Source organism: Homo sapiens, chromosome 16 (assembly GCF_000001405.40).
Source record: "Homo sapiens chromosome 16, GRCh38.p14 Primary Assembly".
Lineage (NCBI taxonomy): Eukaryota > Metazoa > Chordata > Mammalia > Primates > Hominidae > Homo > Homo sapiens.
Window position 1 is genome coordinate 70,135,958 of NC_000016.10, and position 18,787 is coordinate 70,154,744.

At 47.0% G+C, this 18,787-nt stretch overlaps 1 protein-coding gene across 20 annotated transcripts in view; it reads left to right on the top strand.

The window, feature by feature from the left end:
* The window catches only part of PDPR (pyruvate dehydrogenase phosphatase regulatory subunit), a 49,802-nt gene that overhangs the window by 22,332 nt on the left and 8,683 nt on the right, over positions 1–18,787 (top strand). For 10 of the 20 annotated variants that reach the window (NM_001322117.1, NM_001322118.1, XM_047434302.1 and 7 more), the window contains 9 exons: positions 237–429; positions 2,942–3,066; positions 6,277–6,432; positions 6,596–6,729; positions 7,553–7,701; positions 8,464–8,576; positions 10,177–10,271; positions 12,507–12,596; positions 17,434–17,616. In NM_001322117.1, the coding sequence (NP_001309046.1) occupies positions 237–429; positions 2,942–3,066; positions 6,277–6,432; positions 6,596–6,729; positions 7,553–7,701; positions 8,464–8,576; positions 10,177–10,271; positions 12,507–12,596; positions 17,434–17,616 (1,238 nt within the window). Of the gene's footprint in view, positions 1–236; positions 430–2,129; positions 2,228–2,941; positions 3,067–6,276; positions 6,433–6,513; positions 6,730–7,552; positions 7,702–8,463; positions 8,577–10,176; positions 10,272–11,583; positions 12,480–12,506; positions 12,597–17,433; positions 17,617–18,787 lie in introns of those variants that run through there. The other 10 variants (XM_017023388.3, XM_047434303.1, XM_047434306.1 and 7 more) reach the window with 5 other exon arrangements.

The following is an 18,787-nucleotide window of genomic DNA, read 5'->3' on the forward strand; positions in this document are numbered from 1 at the left end:
AATTGGCAGGCTGAGGTGAGAGAGTAGCTTGAACCTGGGAGGCAGAGGTTGCAGTGAGCCGAGATCGTGCCACCACACTCCAGCCGGGGCGACAGAGTGAGACTCCATCTCAAAAAAAAAAAAAAAAAAAATCAAGAGGTTTTCTGAAAGGGGAGAGTGTAAAAAAGTAGAGGGGTTGAAAGTGGTTTAATTCCTTAAAGGTGAGAACTCTATTTGGTTTTGTTGTCATTGCTCAGAGCCTCTGTTGAGTTCCCTTCTGAGGAGGATGCCAGAATTAGAGACTCTGGAGATCATGAAGTTGGTGAACTGCCCAGAGACCTTCACACCAGACATGAGGTGCATCATGGGCGAGTCTCCTGCAGTGCAGGGCTACTTTGTCCTGGCAGGAATGAACTCTGCTGGCCTTTCATTTGGTGGAGGAGCCGGAAAGTAAGTCTTTCTCACTCAAAGTCAGCTGTGAACATAAGTCAACTTGCTGGGTCTCTTCCCTTCTAGAATTACTTGTTATTAACATGGCGTGTGGTATATTTAATCTAGTATGTTAAGACTAATAAGAAGATACATGTAATTTTGGAGTTGTCCCCTTCTAAGTATGAGAGGCTCCCCATGTTCCAGAAATGTCATCGGGCAAAATGTTTTTGCAACTCATCTTTTGGAGTTAGCCACAGATCCTGTGGGATATTCTTTTATATTTTTTCAGTTATAACAAATATTGGTCATTTGAGTGTGTATTTGAGTTTGGTAGCCAAGTATGTTGATTGAGGTAGGTATTTGAACTAGGTAATACACGGTTTGTTTGTTTTTTTAGACAGTCTTGCTCTGTCACCCAGGCTGGAATGCAGTGACATGATCTCAGGTCACTGCAACCTCCACCTCCTGGGTTCAGGCTATTCTCCTACCTCAGCCTCCCGAGTAGCTGGGATTAGAGGTGTGTGCCAAGACATCTGGCTAATTTTTCTATTTTTAGTAGAGACAGGGTTTCACCATGTTAGCCAGGCTGGTCTTGAACTCCTGACTTCAAGTGATCCACCCACCTTGGCCTCCCAAAGTGCTAGGATTACAGGATGAGCCACTGTGCCCGGCCACAAGTTTTTATTTAAAAATTAGACACTAGGCCGGGCGCAGTGGCTCACGCTTGTAATCCCAGCACTTTGGGAGGCCGAGGTGGGCGGATCACAAGGTCATGAGATCGAGACCACTCTGGCTAACACAGTGAAACCCCATCTCTACTAAAAATACACAAACAAAATTAGCCGGGCGTTGTGGCGGGTGCTTGTGGTCCCAGCTACTCGGGAGGCTGAGACAGGAGAATGGCGTGAACCCAGGAGGCAGAGCTTGCAGTGAGCCGAGATTGCGCCACTGCACTCCAGCCTGGGCAACAGAGCGAGACTCTATCTCAATAAAAATAATAATAATAAAATAAAATAAGACACTAATGAACATTAAATAAGCCAGTCACAAAAGGACAAATACCGTGTGGTTCCACTTATATGAAGTTGCTAGAGTTGTCACATCATAGAGACAGAAAGTACAATGGTGGTTGCCAGAGGCGGGGGAGGGGAGCTATTCTTGAATGAGCACAGAGTTCCAGAAATGCAAGAGGAAAAGAGTTCTAGGATGGATGGTGGTGAAGGTTACACCGCAGTGTGAATGTACCCACTGCCACTGAACTGAATACTTACAAATGGGTAAGATGGTAGCCACGATGAAAAGTTTATTTTAAATTTATGAGACCAGTTCTCTTGAGTGATTTGTAGAATGGCTCTGAAAACAGTTACAGAAGAGGAGTTAGAAAAATGTTTGGAGCAAAGGAGATGTGGTCACGTAACTGTATAATCTTTAGGTGACAGAAAAAAACCCATTGGATATTTAGAGTATATTTGTATGTGTTTTAGTCTTATTTCTTCATAGATGAGGCTTATAACTTTTTTGAAACAAGATCTTACTCTCACCCAGGCTGGAGTGCAGTGGCACCATCATAGCTCACTGCAGCCGCAAGTTCCTGGGCTCAAGGGATCATCCCGCATCAGACTCCAGAAGAGCTAGAACTAACTGCAGGCGTGTGCCACCATACCCAGCTCTTTTTTTTTTTTTTTTTTTTGAAACGAAGTTTTGCTCTTGTTGCCCAGGCTGGAGTGCAATGGCACAATCTCGGCTCACCACAACCTCTGCCTCCCGGGTTCAGGTGATTCTCCTGCCTCAGCCTCCCGAGTAGCTGGGATTACAGGCATGTGCCACCACGCCGGCTAATTTTTTTTTTTTTTTTTTTTTTTTTTTTGAGTTGGGGTTTCGCTCTTGTTGCCCAGGCTGGAGTGCAATGGCGTGATCTAGGCTTACTGCAACCTCTGCCTCCCAGGTTCAAGCAATTCTCCTTCCTCAGCCTCCGTAGTAGCTGGGATTACAGGCGTGTGCCACCACACTGGCTAATTTTGTATTTTTAATAGAGACAGGGTTTCTCCACATTGGTCAGGCTTGTTTCGAACTCCTGACCTCAAGTGATCCGTCTGCCTCGGCCTCCCAAAGTGCTGGGATTACAGGTGTGAGCCACCTGGCTCACTTTGAAACTTTTTTTTTTCTGTAGAGACGGGGTCTTACTATGTTGCCCAGGCTGGTCTCAAACTCCTGACTTCAAGCAATCTCCTGCCTCAGCCTCCCAAAGTTCTGGGATTACAGGCATCAGCCAATGTGTCTGGCTGGCTTCTATGTTAAATACCTCCTAGGGAATCTTATCATCTGGGGTAAAATCCTCATAGTAGTCTTTTGAGAGCAGTACACAGACCCATGTTCGTTTCTTCCAGAAAAGTTAAGGAAAGTGCCCAAAACTATTCAGCTGGTCTATGGCAATTTAGGATCTTTTGATTCTGTTTGTTCTCGATTTGTAGAATATTAATTTTCTCAAATCTCACACCTGAGCCCCAACACGTGCCCTCTGTCTATATAGGTACCTTGCCGAATGGATGGTACATGGTTATCCCTCAGAAAACGTTTGGGAATTGGACCTGAAACGTTTTGGAGCCCTCCAGAGCAGCCGCACCTTTCTGCGCCACCGGGTCATGGAAGTCATGCGTAAGTGAAGCTTTATCGCAGTTGCTCCTAGTTGCAGGTATCTTCTCGGTGGCCCGTGTTGTCATTCAGAAGGAGCAAAGTTTTCCTCAGTTCTTTAACAAGTGCTTTGAGTTGGGCATTTGATTTGACTGTTTCAGGCCTGAGTTAAGGGGCTTTATGCTCCTCATGATATATACGTAACATTTTCTTTAGTGCATCGGACCTTGTTTCATTCTGAGAACAAGAAAATAGAATAGGAGTTACAGTTGGTACATAGCAGCTTCATAAATATTCTAAGCAATGCCTTCTTCCCGGTCTGCCTTGAGAGACCGTATGTCGAAGTGCGTGCTTTCTGCAGTCTGCCTTGAGAGACCCTGTGTCGAAGTGAATGCTTTCTCACTCCCACTTAGTTTTTGAGAAAATGCTTTCTCACTCCCCACTTAGTTTTTTCTTTCCAAGTCAGAGAATTTGCCGAGTTATTCTCAGAGCTTCAGGCTTCCGTGAGTGACTTTCACCATTAATCCACCCTACAGCAGCAAGATTGGGAGCCACTTCCCATATAAATACAAAACATACATTCCTGCTCTCACTCCCGTGTTCTCGCCCTGCTTCAACTTTGAAGGATTGGCCACTTCATCTTAATTTGTTATTCTACCTTGATCTCTGATTTATTTTCTAGGAAGCCCTTAGAAAGCTTTTGTATCAGGAATTGAACCAAACCACGTGGGTTCAAGTTGTAATTTCATTTTCCTGTACTGAGGAGCTGTTCTCAGACTTTGCCAAATGGTATCTAAATATTTTGGGCATACTTATGCTCAGGACTAAGTTTCTGTGTTGGCTCTGACCACCATTCTTGGTTGCAAGTAAACTGTTAGTTTGGTAGTTGAACAACATTGTTGGTGAGGACTCTGGATGGCCTTTAATGCCTGAGTGCTCACTTTTGGCCTGGGAAGAGGATGTACATCCATGGAGATGAAGGACCTAACAGCAATATGTTTAACTGCTAAGGTTCTTTAATTTTAGCAAATATTTTGGTTAAAATGTTGAACTTGGCTGGGTGTGGTGGCTCATGCCTGTAATCCCAGCACTTTGGGACGTTGAGGGAGGTAGGTCACTTGAGGTCAGGAGTTTGAGACCAGCCTAGGCAACGTAGCGAAACCCTGTCTCTACTAAAACCAAAACCAAAAAATTAGCCATGCCTAGTGGCACACACCTGAAGTCCCAGCTACTTGGGAGGCTGAGGTAGGCGAATCACCTGAGCTGGGGAAGTTGAGGCTGCAGTGAGCCATGATGGTGCCACTGTGTACTCCAGCCTGGGCAGTGGGACTGAGACCCTGTCTCAAAAAAATAAAATACAAAATCAAAGTTTTTTGTTTTAAAGTTGAACTATTATAAGCCTAAATTTCCCTACCCATAGTTACTTTGGAACCTGTACAAATCATAATTGAGCTTGAGCTTCTGCTTGGTGATATGACACTTTTGGTAGCCAATTCTCATGAAATAGAAGTGGCAGGCACATAGAAAATGGGGAAGGCGCCAGGCGCAGTGGCTCAAGCCTGTAATCCCAGCATGTTGGGAGGCTGAGGCAGGCGGATCACTTGAGGTCAGGAGGTCTGGCCTGACCAACATGGCGAAACCCTGTCTCTACTAAAAATACAAAAATTTAGCCAGATGTGGTGGTACGTGCCTGTGATCCCAGCTACTTGGCAGGCTGAGGCAGGACAATCACTTGAACCCGGGAGATGGAGGTTGCAGTGAGCCAAGATCTCACCACTGCACTCTAGCCTGGGTGATAGAGAGGGATTCCATCTCAACAAAAAATAAAAAAAAAATAGAAAAGAAAATGGGGGAGGGGATGATAGAACCGAAAGTACTAGGAGATGGAGAGATTGTCACCATGCAGAGAACCCCACCTGGCTTCCTTCTCCTGTCTCCCAACCTCCCCAAGCCTTGATGTGCCTTTTGTTTGGGATGGTGTGAGATCAGGGACCACAGATCACACTCTTCTGGCTTTTTTTACTTATTGCTGTTGAAGATTAGACCTTAAGGGAAATGAATTTTTTTTTTTTCCGAGACAGTCTTGCTCTATTGCCCAGGCTGGAGTGCCGTGGCGTGATTTCGGCTCACTGCAACCTCTGCCTCCTGGGTTCAAACAATTCTCCTGCCTCAGCCTCCCGAGTAGCTGGGATTACAGGCGCCTGCCACCATGCCTGGCTAATTTATGTATTTTTAGTAGAGACAGGGTTTCACCACATTGGTCAGGCTGATCTTGAACTCCTGACCTCGTGATCCGCCCACCTCGACCTCTCAGTGCTGGGTTTACAGACGTGAGCCACCACACCCGGCCTAAGAGAAATGAATTCTGACCCTAGCTTTGTTGTGTGAATAATGTCATTGGTACAATACAATATAACTTCTCAGATTTCAGAGCCACCTAATCAAGCTGCAATATGTACCCTTTCACTTCAGAAGTGAGTTAATTATCAGGGAGGAAATGTCTGTAACAGGTCTGAGATCCTAACACAGGCACAATGAAGAATCGAATGCCATTTTTTCACATTTTGTTACCACCTGTGTCCCACTTAGTAACCTTCTTCTCTGCTATGAAGCTTGGTAAGGTTTAGGACCCTGACCTTTCTGCCATCATTTCTACCTACTAATGTGGAATGCTGAATGTGAATACAGGCCGAGTCATGCCGTGACACGTAGCTCCAGGGAGGGACGATAGCAGCTTGGCAGGATTGTCTTTTCCTTCTGGAGCATGCCTGATACACTGGGTAATTTTGAAAATTAGACTACATTAGCCTGGAAATTGGGCCGGGCAGAGTGGCTCACGCCTGTAATCCCAGCACTTCGGGAGGCTGGGGCGGGCAGATCACCTGAGGTCAGGAGTTTGAGACCAGCCTGACCAACATGGAGAAACCCTGTCTCTACTAAAAATACAAAAATTAGTGTGGCACGGTGACACGTGCCTGTAATCCCAGCTACTCGGGAGGCTGAGGCAGGAGAATCGCTTAAACCCAGGAGGCAGAGGTTGCAGTAAGCCGAGATTGTGCCACTGCACTCCAGCCTGGACAACAAGAGCAAAACTCCGTCTTAAAAAAAAAAAAAAACTACGTTAGCCTGGAAAGCTCTTTTGAATAGAAACAACTCCAGAGTCTAGTGGACATGGGCTACTCAGGTCTAGAATCTGTGTCTTGGGCTTTGATAGACTACTCGTGTCTTTTCTAGCTTTGATGTATGATCTGAAGGTTCCCCGCTGGGACTTCCAGACCGGTAGGCAGTTACGCACCTCTCCTCTCTACGACCGGCTGGATGCACAGGGAGCCAGGTGGATGGAGAAACATGGATTTGAGAGGCCAAAGTACTTTGTTCCCCCCGACAAGGGTAAGAAGTCACATTCTCATTTTTGCTTCTTTTTTTTTTTTTTGTCCTGGGAATTAATAAAACATATTTTCAAATGCATAGGCTAGAATGTGTTCACAGAAGAAAAAGAACCACGTGGACTACACTAAACTCTACAGGGCCTTGTGATTTTTCCATTCCGTAGACCTCCTGGCATTGGAGCAGAGCAAGACTTTCTATAAGCCAGATTGGTTTGACATCGTGGAGTCTGAAGTCAAGTGCTGTAAGGAAGCTGTGTGTGTCATTGACATGTCCTCTTTCACAAAGTTTGAGATAACAGTAAGTATTTGGGAACCAAAAAGTAATAGATTAGGAAACTTTACATATTTATTGAATGCCTTTTGTTTTTCATCTTCAAAACTGATTCCTGACTGGGTGCAGTGGGTCATGCCTGTATTCCCAGCACTTTGGGAGGCCAAGGGGGCGTGGATCACCTGAGGTCAGAGTTCCAGACCAGCCTGGCCAAGATGGTGAAACCCCGTTTCTACTAAAAATACAAAAATTAAGGCCAGGAGTGGTGGCTCATGCCTGTAATCCCAGCAGTTTGGGAGGCCGAGACGGGTGGATCACCTGAGATCAGGAGTTCAAGACCAGCCTGGCCAACATGGCGAAACCGTCTCTACCAAAAATACAAAAAATTAACCAGGCATGGTGGCGGGCACTTGTAATCCCAGCTACTCGGGAGGCAGGAGAATCGCGTGAACTCATGAGGTGGAGGTTGCAGTGAGCTGAGATTGCGCCACTGCACTCAGCCTGGGCAACAGAGTGAGACTCCATCTCAAAAAAAAAAACAAAAAACAAAAACAAAACACTGATTTCTTAAGAATTCTGGTATATTTTAGTGTTTCATCTGTATTGTAACATTTTTCTGAAATTTTAGCTCCTTGTTTCAGGTTTTTAATTTGCTAGAGAGGCCTGTTTATCATAAGAATCAATAGCTAGCGTTCCCTGGAGCTTCTTGCAGTGGAGTAGGTCTGCAAATGTTGTCACATGGGAATTGGCTGATTGAATTTTCTCAATGAGGTTCATTGCTGGTGGGGCCATGTGGCCCAGCCAGGTGCTCTCACGCTCACTCTCTCTGTTTCATTCCCTAACCCTGCAGTCCACTGGGGATCAGGCATTAGAAGTTCTACAGTACCTCTTCTCCAATGACCTGGATGTGCCTGTGGGCCACATTGTGCATACTGGCATGCTCAACGAGGGTGGAGGGTATGAAAATGACTGCAGCATAGCACGACTGAACAAGCGCAGGTGAGATGAGCTGCCGTCCCGCTCTGCTCCCTCCAACATGTTGATTCCTTAGGGGTGCTGTAGCAGAGGCTCTCAGGCGCTTCTCCGGGAACCATAAATCCCAGAGTCTAAGAATCATTACATGAAATCAAAGCCAGTTTATTAGCAGTCCTAAACAAAAGAAATCACCAGGAGGAAAAGAAAAAAAAGCCCACCAGATTATGTACCCTACTGGGAGAAGATGCCTTGTCTTTTTTCTTTTTTTTTTTTTTGAGACAGGGTCTCACTTTGTTACCCAGGCTGGAGTGCAGTGATGCGATCATGGATCCCTGCAGCCTGGACCTCCTGGGCTCAAGTGATCCTCCCACCTCAGCTTTCCAGGTAGCTGGGACCACAGGTACACGCCACCACACCCAGCCAGTTTTTGTATATTTTGTAGAGATAGGGTTTTGCCACATTGCCCAGGCTGATCTTGAACACCTGAGCTCAAGCAATCTGCCCACCTTGGCCTCCAAAGTGCTGGGATTACAGGTGTGAGCCACTGTGCCCAGCCGATGTCTTAACGTTAGTAAATCTGTATAATTTCTTGGCATTAACAGGAAGCCAGAATTTTGTTTTGTTGTTAGGTGGTGTATCCTAGAATGGTGCTACTGGCCTTCTGTGAAAGCTAAGAAATCATTTCCTAGTATTTGCCTCATTGCTTTGAAACCAAATAAGATTTGATTGCTTCCTGATCCTTTTGCTGCTACCTGGTTTTGATTATTTTGGGGTCTCACTTTTCAGTTTCTTCATGATCTCTCCAACCGACCAGCAGGTCCACTGTTGGGCCTGGCTTAAGAAACACATGCCGAAAGACAGCAACCTGCTCCTGGAGGACGTCACCTGGAAGTACACAGGTACGGGGGTTCGGGCTCTGCCACGTCGAAAAGGCCAGCAGATGCAGATGTGTCCACGTTTGCCTTCTTTACATTTGACTCTCAAAAATGAACATTAGAGTTAGCATAAAAGAGGCTCTCTGGTCATAGAAAATTGATCTCTAGGGGATGCGGTGGCTGACACCTGTAATCCCAGCACTTTTGGAGGCCGAGGTTGGAGGATCACTAGGTCAGGAGTTCGAGACCAACCTGGACTATATGGTGAAACCCCGTCTCTACTAGAAATACAAAAATTAGCTGGGCGTGGTGGCACACACCTGTAATCCCAGCTACTTGGGAGGCTGAGGCAGGAGAATCACTTGAACCCAGGAGGCAGAGGTTGCAGTGAGCCCCAGATTGCACCACTGCACTCCAGCCTAGGCGAGTGAGACTCCATCTCAAAAAAAAAAAGAAAATTGAGGGCTGGACACAGTGGCTTACACCTGTAATCCCAGCACTTTGGGAGGCTGAGGCGGGCGGATCATGAGGTCAGGAATTTGAGACCAGCCTGGCCAACATGGTGAAACCCCATCTCTACTAAAAATACAAAAATTAGCTGGACATGGTGGTGCATGCCTGTAGTCCCAGCTACTCATGAGGCTGAAGCAGGAGAATCGCTTGAATCTGGGAGGCAGAGGTTGCAGTGAGCCAAGATCATGCCATTGCACCTCCACCTCCCGGGTTCAAGCGATTCTTCTGCCTCAGCCTCCCAAGTAGCTGGGATTATAGGCGCCCGCCACCACGCCGGGCTAATTTCTGTATTTTTAGTAGAGATGGGGTTTCACCATGTTGGCCAGGCTGGTCTTGAACTCTTGACCTCGTGATCCACCTGCTTCGGCCTCCCAAAGTGCTGGGATTACAGGCATGAGCCACCACGCCCAGTCCCAGAGAGTACCTAATTTTTAAGGATGACTTGGTTCCCTGATTTTCTCACTCTCAGCAGTCTCGGCTTAACCCCTCCCACCTTCCCACCTAACTGATCTTGCCCCTTGGCCCCACCAGCGTTTGCTCTCCCAGGCTCTCATTCTCAATTCCTTGTAGTAGCAAATATGATATACGTCCTGCTCCTGGATTGGGATACTACAGAATGTTACTGAACAAAAGTCATGTTCTAGCCTGTCTTAGGATGGATGACATGTAATTAGCACAAGCTGATGTCACAAACACTGGTGTCCAGAATAATGCTTTCCTTATCTAGTAAGCATTAGGATATGTTTGAAGTGGATTTAGCTTCTCTGAATTTAAAGTCTGTATACTTTTTGGTTGGGCAGATCTCCACCGGGTACTGATTTGGGGTTGGGGCTTCTTCCATCACATAGCCTTGCTGGGAAAAGGAGGAGAACGGGAATTGTGTGGGGTGGTTATGGCCAGCCCTGCTGCGTTCAGCAGGCCCTGTTGGCAGAGGTGTATTCGCCAGAATCGGGGTGCTTAGCATCCATCCTTGGAGTGTCTAAGCAAAGGGACATATTCCTGGTCTCTGCACCCAGGCCTGGCTATAGCTGAGCAAGTCTACAGTAGACCTTTCCCATTGGCTCAGCTGTTCAGAAGGAGAGCTGGACATCTCTTGTTCTTTTCCATTTAGCCCTCAATCTGATTGGCCCTCGAGCTGTGGATGTGCTGTCTGAGTTGTCCTATGCCCCTATGACTCCAGACCACTTCCCAAGCCTCTTTTGCAAGGTAAGTGCTGATAAAGTTCTGTTTCTTAAATGGGCAGAGAATGTGTCTTTCATAGCGGTGGCAGGTACATATTCTTACTATGGTGTTAGCACCCACAAAGAGTGTCTTGGCTGGGTGAGGTGGCACATGCCTGTAATCCTAGCACTTTGGGAGGCCGAGGCAGGTGGATCACCCAAAGTCAGGAGTTTGAGACCAGCCTGGCCAACATGGTGAGACCCTGTCTCTGTTAAAAATACAAAAATTAGCTGGGTATGGTCTCACGCACCTATAATCCCAGCTACTTGGGAGGCTGAGGCACAGGAATCGCTTGAACTCTGGAGGCAGAGGTCGCAGTGAGCCGAGAACACGCCACTGCACTCCACCTGGGTGACAGAGTGAGACTCTGTCTCAAATAAAAGAGTGTGCTGGCCAGGTGCAGTGGCTCACGCCTATAATCCCAGCACTTTGGGATTACATCTTATATTTATAAATAAATATAAAAATACAAAAATTAGCCGGGTGTGGTGGCGCATGCCTGTGGTCCCAGCTACTCGGGAGGCTGAGGCAGGAGAATGACTTGAACCTGGGAGGCAGATGTTGCAGTGAGCCGAGATTGCGCCATTGCACTCCAGGCTGGCAACAGAGCAAGACTGTCTCAAAAAAAAAAAAAAAAATGTGCTGCCCTTCATTAGCAAAGAAGTGACTAAGTATATTTATTTATTTATTTATTTATTTATTTATTTTGAGACAGAGTTTCACTCTTGTTGCACAGGCTGGCGTGCAATGGTGCGATCTCGGCTCACTGCAACCTCCACTTCCCGGGTTCAGGCGATTCTCCTGTTTCAGCCTCCCGAGTAGCTGGGATTACAAGCGCCCGCCACCATGCCCAGCTAACTTTTTGTATTTTTAGTAGAGACAGGGTTTCACCATGTTTGCCAGGCTGGTCTTGAACTCCTGACCTCAGGTGAACCACCCACCTCAGCCTCCCAAAGTGCTGGGATTACAGGTGTGAGCCACTGCGCCCGGCCTTATTTGTTTATTTTTTACACTCCAAGCTTGCTTTATTTAATAAGCATTAGGATATCTTTGAAGTGGATTTAGCTTCTCTAAATGTAAAGTCTTTATGCTTTTTGGTTTCTGTAGCACTGGATTAAAATTTGAAGTTACAGGATTATGACACACACAAAAATGCCTTTCGAAGTTAGGTCCCTTCTCTCCATGCAGTGTGGCCTCTTTTCTGTACACAGAGTAACTTCTGTGTCTGTGGCATCTTCAGGGAAGAAATGGCGTAGGTGAATCTCTGAACTTCCTACATAATTTTCTTTCCTATAAGTGGCAACCACAGCTGAGTGAAACAAACTGTAACCGAATGAAAGCAATGACAACGGAATCCTCCCCAGGAAGCTGCTGATTAGAGAGGGCCAAACGGACAGACATCTTGGCCACCTGTAACGAGCAACTTCCAGGTGGTTACTGATGGAGACTCTTTGAAGTTCACCCAAAGTGGGATCCACCTACAAATTGTTTCACAGTTTTCCTTCTTCTCCGAGGCAAAGTGAAAGCAACAGAAAACTCTCCACTGTTAGCTATCAGTGGACCCCTCCCAGCGTTTGCTCTGCTGCTTGGAGGAGTGACCCATACGCTCAACACCTGGCGAGTGCTGCATCCTGTCAGCCTCCTGTGGAAGCGGTTCACTTCGGTGCTGTCCAGGACTTTCCACTTTCCTTTATAGGAACGGTGATTGCGTCAGTGGCCGCTGTTAGGGAACTGAGCTGCTATGTAACGTGTTCTGAGAATCAGAAGCCCATCTTTGACCCCAGGATAGCAGATTAATTATGTCTGTGGGCATCGGGCATCATCTTTTGTATGGCAGGCGGCCAGGGTTTGTCTGCTGATTCCCCCAGAGAAGACACTCGCCTTGTCCTCATTGTGCCTGCTACCCTCGACTAACACAAGGACCTGGCAAAGAGGAATATTTTGTGCTTGTCAAGGACTTTCCTCCACTCTCTACCATCAGCTTGGCTAAAACTCCTGAGATGGTAACAGTAGCAAGCAGAGATGTCACATAGGCAGTGCTCCATTCTCTGTGCCTCAGGACCTGGAAGTTAACCACTTTCGGGATGAAATTCTTGCCTTGACGTCTGTCTCCCTCAACAGTAAACAGAGGGTGCAGCACTAATGAAAGGTTTCCCCAGGCGTCCCTCCCTTGACAAGTAATGTGAGTGCCCAGGCTGACTGCTGCCTTTGTCCCTGCAGGAGATGAGTGTGGGCTATGCAAATGGGATCCGGGTGATGAGCATGACGCACACAGGAGAGCCAGGATTCATGCTCTACATCCCCATAGAGGTGAGAGGGCACCCTTCCCTTCCCTTCCCTTCACTTCCCTTCCCTTCCCTTCCCTTCCCTTCCCACAACCACTGTGGGGTGCCAGTGCTCCCAGCAGCGCGTTCACCAGCACTGGCAGGTTTGGAGAGCTGTATCTGATTGGGCCTTGGGAGCTGAGGTAGGCTGCATTGAAGAGATTTGACCATTTTTAACTAAGTTATATAAGTTTTTTTGAATAGGTGATACATTTAAAAAGTATTTGGCGCCGTCTGATCTGTTCTCACCAACTGTCACCAATAATATTAGTATTACTTTTATATGTCATTTCAGATTTGTATGCATATTGCAAGCAAATTCATAATTAATTTTTTTTTTTTTTTGAGACAGGGTCTCACTCTTTTGCCCAGGGTGGAGTGCAATGGCATGACCGTGGCTCACTGCAGCCTCGACCTCTTGGGCTCAAGCCACCCTCCCACCTCCGCCTCCCGAGTAGCTGGGACTGTAGGCATGTGCCACCATGCCTGGCTAATTTTTGTATTTTTTTGTAGAGACAGGTTTTGCCATGTCGCTCAAGCTGGTCTCAAACTCCTGACCTCAGGTGATACACCCACCTTGTCCTCCCAAAGTGCTGGGATTATAGGTGTGAGCCACCATACCCAGCCAAGCCCCCTTTTTAAAAACAGAAATGGAAGCATACTGCTATTCTTCATCCTGTTTTTTTTTTTTTCACTTCACAATTTTTTTTTTAATTGAGGCAGAGTCTCACTCTGTCACCTAGGGTGGAATGTAGTGGCATAATCTCAGTTCACTGCAACCTTCGCCTCCCAGGTTCAAGTGATTGTCCTGCTTCAGCCTCCCGAGTAGCTGGGATTACAGGTGCACGCCACCACGCCTGGCTAATTTTTGTATTTTTAGTACAGACGGGGCTTCACCATGTTGCCCAGGCTTGTTTCCAACTCCTGACCTCAAGTGGTCCACACACCTCAGCCTCCCAAAGTGCTGGGATTACAGGCATGAGCTACCATGCCCGGCCTCACTTCACAATTTCTCTTAGAGCTCTTTCTTTGTTGGTACCTAAAGCAAAAGAGCTTCCTTGTTCTTTTTTTCTTTATTTTTTAACAGTGGCGTAGCATTCCATTGTGGTACATCATTCCGATACTAATAGACATTTATGTTATTTCTAGTCTTTTGCTGTTATAAAAAGGTCTGCAGGCTGAGTTCAGTCTAATCATATGCAAATAGTAATAGTTTCTTCCTTCTCCAGAACCTTTTTTTTGAGACGGAGTCTCACTCTGTCGCCCAGGCTGGAGTGCAGTGGCGCAATCTCGGCTCACTGCAAGCTCCGCCTCCCGGGTTCACGCCATTCTCCTGCCTCAGCCTCCTGAGTAGCTGGGACTACAGGCGCCTGCCACCACGCCCGGCTAATTTTTTGTATTTTTCATAGAGACGGGGTTTCACCGGGTTAACCAGAATGGTCTCGATCTCCTACCTCGTGATCTGCCAGCCTTGGCCTCCCAAAGTGCTGGGATTAGAAGCGTGAGCCACCGCACCCGGCCGGCTTTTTTTTTTTTTTTTCTTTTTTTTTTTTGAGATGAAGTCTCACACTTGTCCCCCAGGCTGGAGTGCGATGACATGATCTAGGCTCACCGCAACCTCTGCCTCCCGGGTTCAAGTGATTCTCCTGCCTCAGCCTCCCGAGTAGCTGGGATTACAGGCGCCTGCCACCACACCCGACTAATTTTTGTATTTTTAGTAGAGACAGGATTTCACCATGTTGGCCAGCTTGGTCTCGAACTCCTGACCTTAGGTGATCCACCCACCTCGGCCTCCCAAAGTGCTGGAATTACAGGCGTGAGCCACCGCACCCGGGCCCATAGTCTTTCTTCCTATAATTTCCTTCCTTTGTTCTATTGTGACAGGTAGCAATCAATGATTGTAGGCATGCTTGTTTTCTTCTTGATGTTAGTCATACTACTTGTAGTGATAGGTTTTCTCTTAATTTTTTTTTTTTTTGTGAGACAGGGCATTGCTCTGTCACCCAGGCTGGCTTACTGCAGCTTGACCTCCGAGGCTGAAGTGATCCCCCTGCCTCAGCCTCCTGAATAGCTGGGACTACAAGCATGTGCCAACATCCCCAGCTAATTTTTTAATTTTATTTTTGTAGAGGCAGGGTCTTGCTATGTTGCCTAGGCTGGTCTCAGACTCCTGGACTCTAGTGATCCTCTCACGTCAGCCTCCCAAAGTATTGGGATTACATGTGTGAGCCACTACCCCGACCTTATTTATTACTATTTTTTAGTGCAGTGGGATGATCATAGCTCACTGTAGCCTTGAACTTCTGGGCTTAAGCAGTCATCCCACTTCAGCTTCCTGAGTAGATAGGACCACAGATGCCCAGCTATCTTTTATTTTTTTGTTTTTAGACGGAGCCTCCCACTGTCGCCCAGGCTGGAGTGTAGTGGCATGATCTCGGCTCACTGCAAGCCCCACCTCCTGGGTTCAAGCGATTCTCCTGCCTCAGCCTCCTGAGTAGCTGGGACTACAGGCACACGCCACCACACTCGGCTAATTTTTTGTATTTTTCATAGAGACAGGGTTTCACCGTGTTGGCCAGGATGGTCTCAATCGCCTGACCTCGTGAGCCGCCTGCCTCAGCCTCCCAAAGTGCTGGGATTACAGGCATGAGCCACCGCACCCGGCCTATTTTTTTATTTTTTGTAGCTTTGAGAGTCTCAATATGTTGCCCAGGCTGGACTCTAACTCCAGCCTCAAATGATCCTCTCATCTCAGCCTCCCAAAGTGTTGGGATTACCGGCGTGAGCCACTGTGTCTGGCCCTGTTTTAACTATTTGAGCCACTGTGCCCAACCCTTTTTAAATGATTAAAGCACAGATAATATCAGCGCATGAAATTTCATCTGCTTTTCCACACTCAGAAGTATTACAACAATATGAAGATGAAGAGATTGTTCAAGACTTGGGAAGAATTTAAACAGATGCAGCTGCCATGGTTGGCCTGTGCAGGCAGGTTGATTCTGAAGTGCCACCCAGTGGTTCAGGTGTTGTCACCTGGGTGCTTGTGGTCAAACCTCATCAGGAAGGGGAGGCTCTGTGGCTCTAGCAGCTTCATCCTTGCTTGGAGGCCTTGGTTTCAGCTTTCTGATTTCCCTGGGCTGTTCCCATTCTTATGATTTTTCAAGAGTCTAAGAGATTATTTGTGCCACGCTTGGGTTCTTTATAAGCTGGCTTTTGTCCAGGAAGCTTATGTTTGTCTCTCTGAGAAGAGGTCTTCCAAAACATGGGGGCAGATGGCAGATTCTCGTTTTGTTCACACTAAATCTCTGGTATTTTGTGAGAAAAACGAGTAAATGGTGGGGAACTACTCTTTGAGTAAATGGTGGGGACCCACTCTTCTCTTTGATTTTCCCAGCATTAGTCACGTAGTTGGATCTGGCCCAACACTAGTCACCTGGTTACATCGTTCTTCCTTGGTCATCCTCTTACCTAAAGGACCGGGCATTGAGCTTGAGGTGGGAGAGTACCACATTCCCTGGAGATGCCAGCTGTGTATTCTCCTCGTCCTGCCGCATTCTGTGGGTCTCCTGCACCCACCTTGGCTGATTCAGGTGTTTCCCTTACACACATACCACAGGCGAGTGTTGCATGCAATAGCTTGGATTCCTTTTTTCCACATTTAAAGTTGTCTTCCCGGCACGGTGGCTCATGTCTGTAATCCCAGCAATTTGGGAGGCCAAGGTGAGTGAATCATCTGAGGTCAGGAGTTCGAGAGCAGCCTGGTCAACATGGCGAAACCTCGTCTCTACTAAAAATACAAAAATTAGCTGGGTGTGGCGGCAGCCACCTATAGTACCAGCTACTCGGGAGGCTGAGGCAGGAGATTCACTTGAACCCGGGAGTGGAGATGGCAGTGAGCCGAGATCGCGCCACTTCACTCTAGCCTGGGCAAAAGAGCAAAACTCTGTCTCAAAAATAAATAAGTAAATAAAGTTGTCTTGATCATAGTGGTCTGTTTGGTAGATGCCTGTTCAGCTACAGTGGTGCAGTTCATAGAAACATACTGTGCTAGGATAAAGAACTGCAGTACCACTGAAGCTGGTTCTTTGCTACGTCTTGCTTTGGATTTCATTTTACAGTTTTAAAAGCAAACAGTGTAGTCTCATTTTTGTTGGACTTTAAACTTAACAGCGTATGTTCAGACAGGGATTGAATATTTGCTTTCAGTTTGGAAAACCTTCTGTTCACTGATCTGATAACGTACATGTTTCTGAAACCAAGAAAAGAGCAGCTTGAGAGCCTGAATGCTGTGGGACATGAGCAGGCGAGCCCTGCCTTCCTGGCTCCCCCGCCGTCATCCGATGTGTGCACACGTCTCGAGTAACGTGTGAGAGCTGGGCCTCACAGCTTGGGCCAGTACGTGAGGGAGTAACAGTGGTTGGGAAATTGGAGCAAAAGAACAAAGCCAGAATCAGATGAAGACCATGGAGGGTTGGTGGGCTGTTTTAGAAATGATGATGAGATTGGCCATTTACCAAATGGTGAGAGAGCTTCTATAAATTATTATTTAAGAATTGCTGTAAGCTAGAATCACCACACAAGACATTTTAGAGAGGTGAAAAGACATGGATCCTGTTGTCATGGAGCTTAAGTCCAGGCTGGGGTGACCCCAGCTCATCACTCCTGGGCTGTGCCCTGAGCGTGTCAAGGATGAGACATCCTGGGAGTTTTATACGCCTCCTCTCTTGTCCATGTTAATAGTGTGAGCCATCAGCGCTTCCAGACATGCTCCATGCTTAATTCTGAAGGTCTGCTGCTTATGAACTTTCTGTCTCTTCCTATAGTACGCCCTGCATGTATACAATGAAGTGATGAGTGTTGGCCAGAAATACGGAATCCGGAATGCTGGGTATTACGCTCTTCGCAGTCTCCGAATTGAGAAGTTTTTTGCCTTCTGGGGTCAGGATATAAATAACCTCACCACGCCCCTGGAATGTGGACGAGAGTCTCGGGTGAAATTAGAGAAGGTACTGTGTTTACCCAGACTCCACTTTCACTCAGCATCCCGAGTAGTGAATCTGCACTAGACTAGGAAGAAGAACTGATGTGACAGGAAAAGGGGGAAAAGATTGAGGCCTTGATGTTAGCATCAGGTAAATGAGGACAAGAGTGCCCTGAGAATGAAAACTTTATAGGATAAAATATCTTCAAATGAAAACATAATAATGGTGGCTCACGCCTGAATCCCAGCACTTTGGGAGGCTGAGGCGGGTGGATCACCTGAGGTCAGGAGTTCGAGACCAGCCTGGCCAACATGGCAAAACCCGTCTCTACTAAAAATACAAAAAGTAGGCCGGGCACGGTGGCTCACACCTGTAATCCCAACACTTTGGGAGGCCAAGGCGGGCGGATCACAAGTTCAGGAGATCGAGATCATCCTAGCTAACACAGTGAAACCCCGTCTCTACTAAAAATACAAAAAATTAGCCGGGTGTGGTTGCGGGCGCCTATAGTCAGGAGAATGGCGTGAACCCAGGAGGCAGAGGTTGCAGTGAGCCGAGATCACGCCACTGCACTCCAGCCTGGGCGACAGAGCGAGACTCCGTCTCAAAAAAAAAAAAATTTACAAAAAGTAGCTGGGCGTGGTGGCCAGCACCTGTAGTTCCAGCTACTCGGGAGGCTGAGGCAGGAGAATCACTTGAACCTAACAGGCAGAGGTTGCAGTGAGCCAAAATCGCACCACTGCACTCCAGCCTGTGTGACAGGGCAAGACTCCGTCTCAGAAAAAAGAAAACATAGTAAATAGATGACACTTGGTCAGGTGCGGTGGCTCACAACTGTAATCCTAGCACTTTGGGAGGCCAAGGCAGGAGGATCACTTGAGCTCAGCCTGGGCAATACAGCAAGACCTTGTCTCTGAATTACAATTGAAAAACAAACAAAAAAACCCACTTATTTCTAGTGTTCTGCTGTCTAAAAGACTGAGTGCTTTCTGGGAAGCTATTCTGAGTTAATTATGGTGATGCATTAACATGCCACGAATATTTGTACAAACTAGTCGTCCTATAGTCAGCTGCCTAATTTTTGTGGTTTTTTTCTTTTGTTTTTGATTTTGAGGTGGGGTCTCATTCTGTCACCCAGGTTGGAGTGCAGTGGCGCGATGTTGGCTCACTGCAATGCCCTCTCATGCTCAAGTGA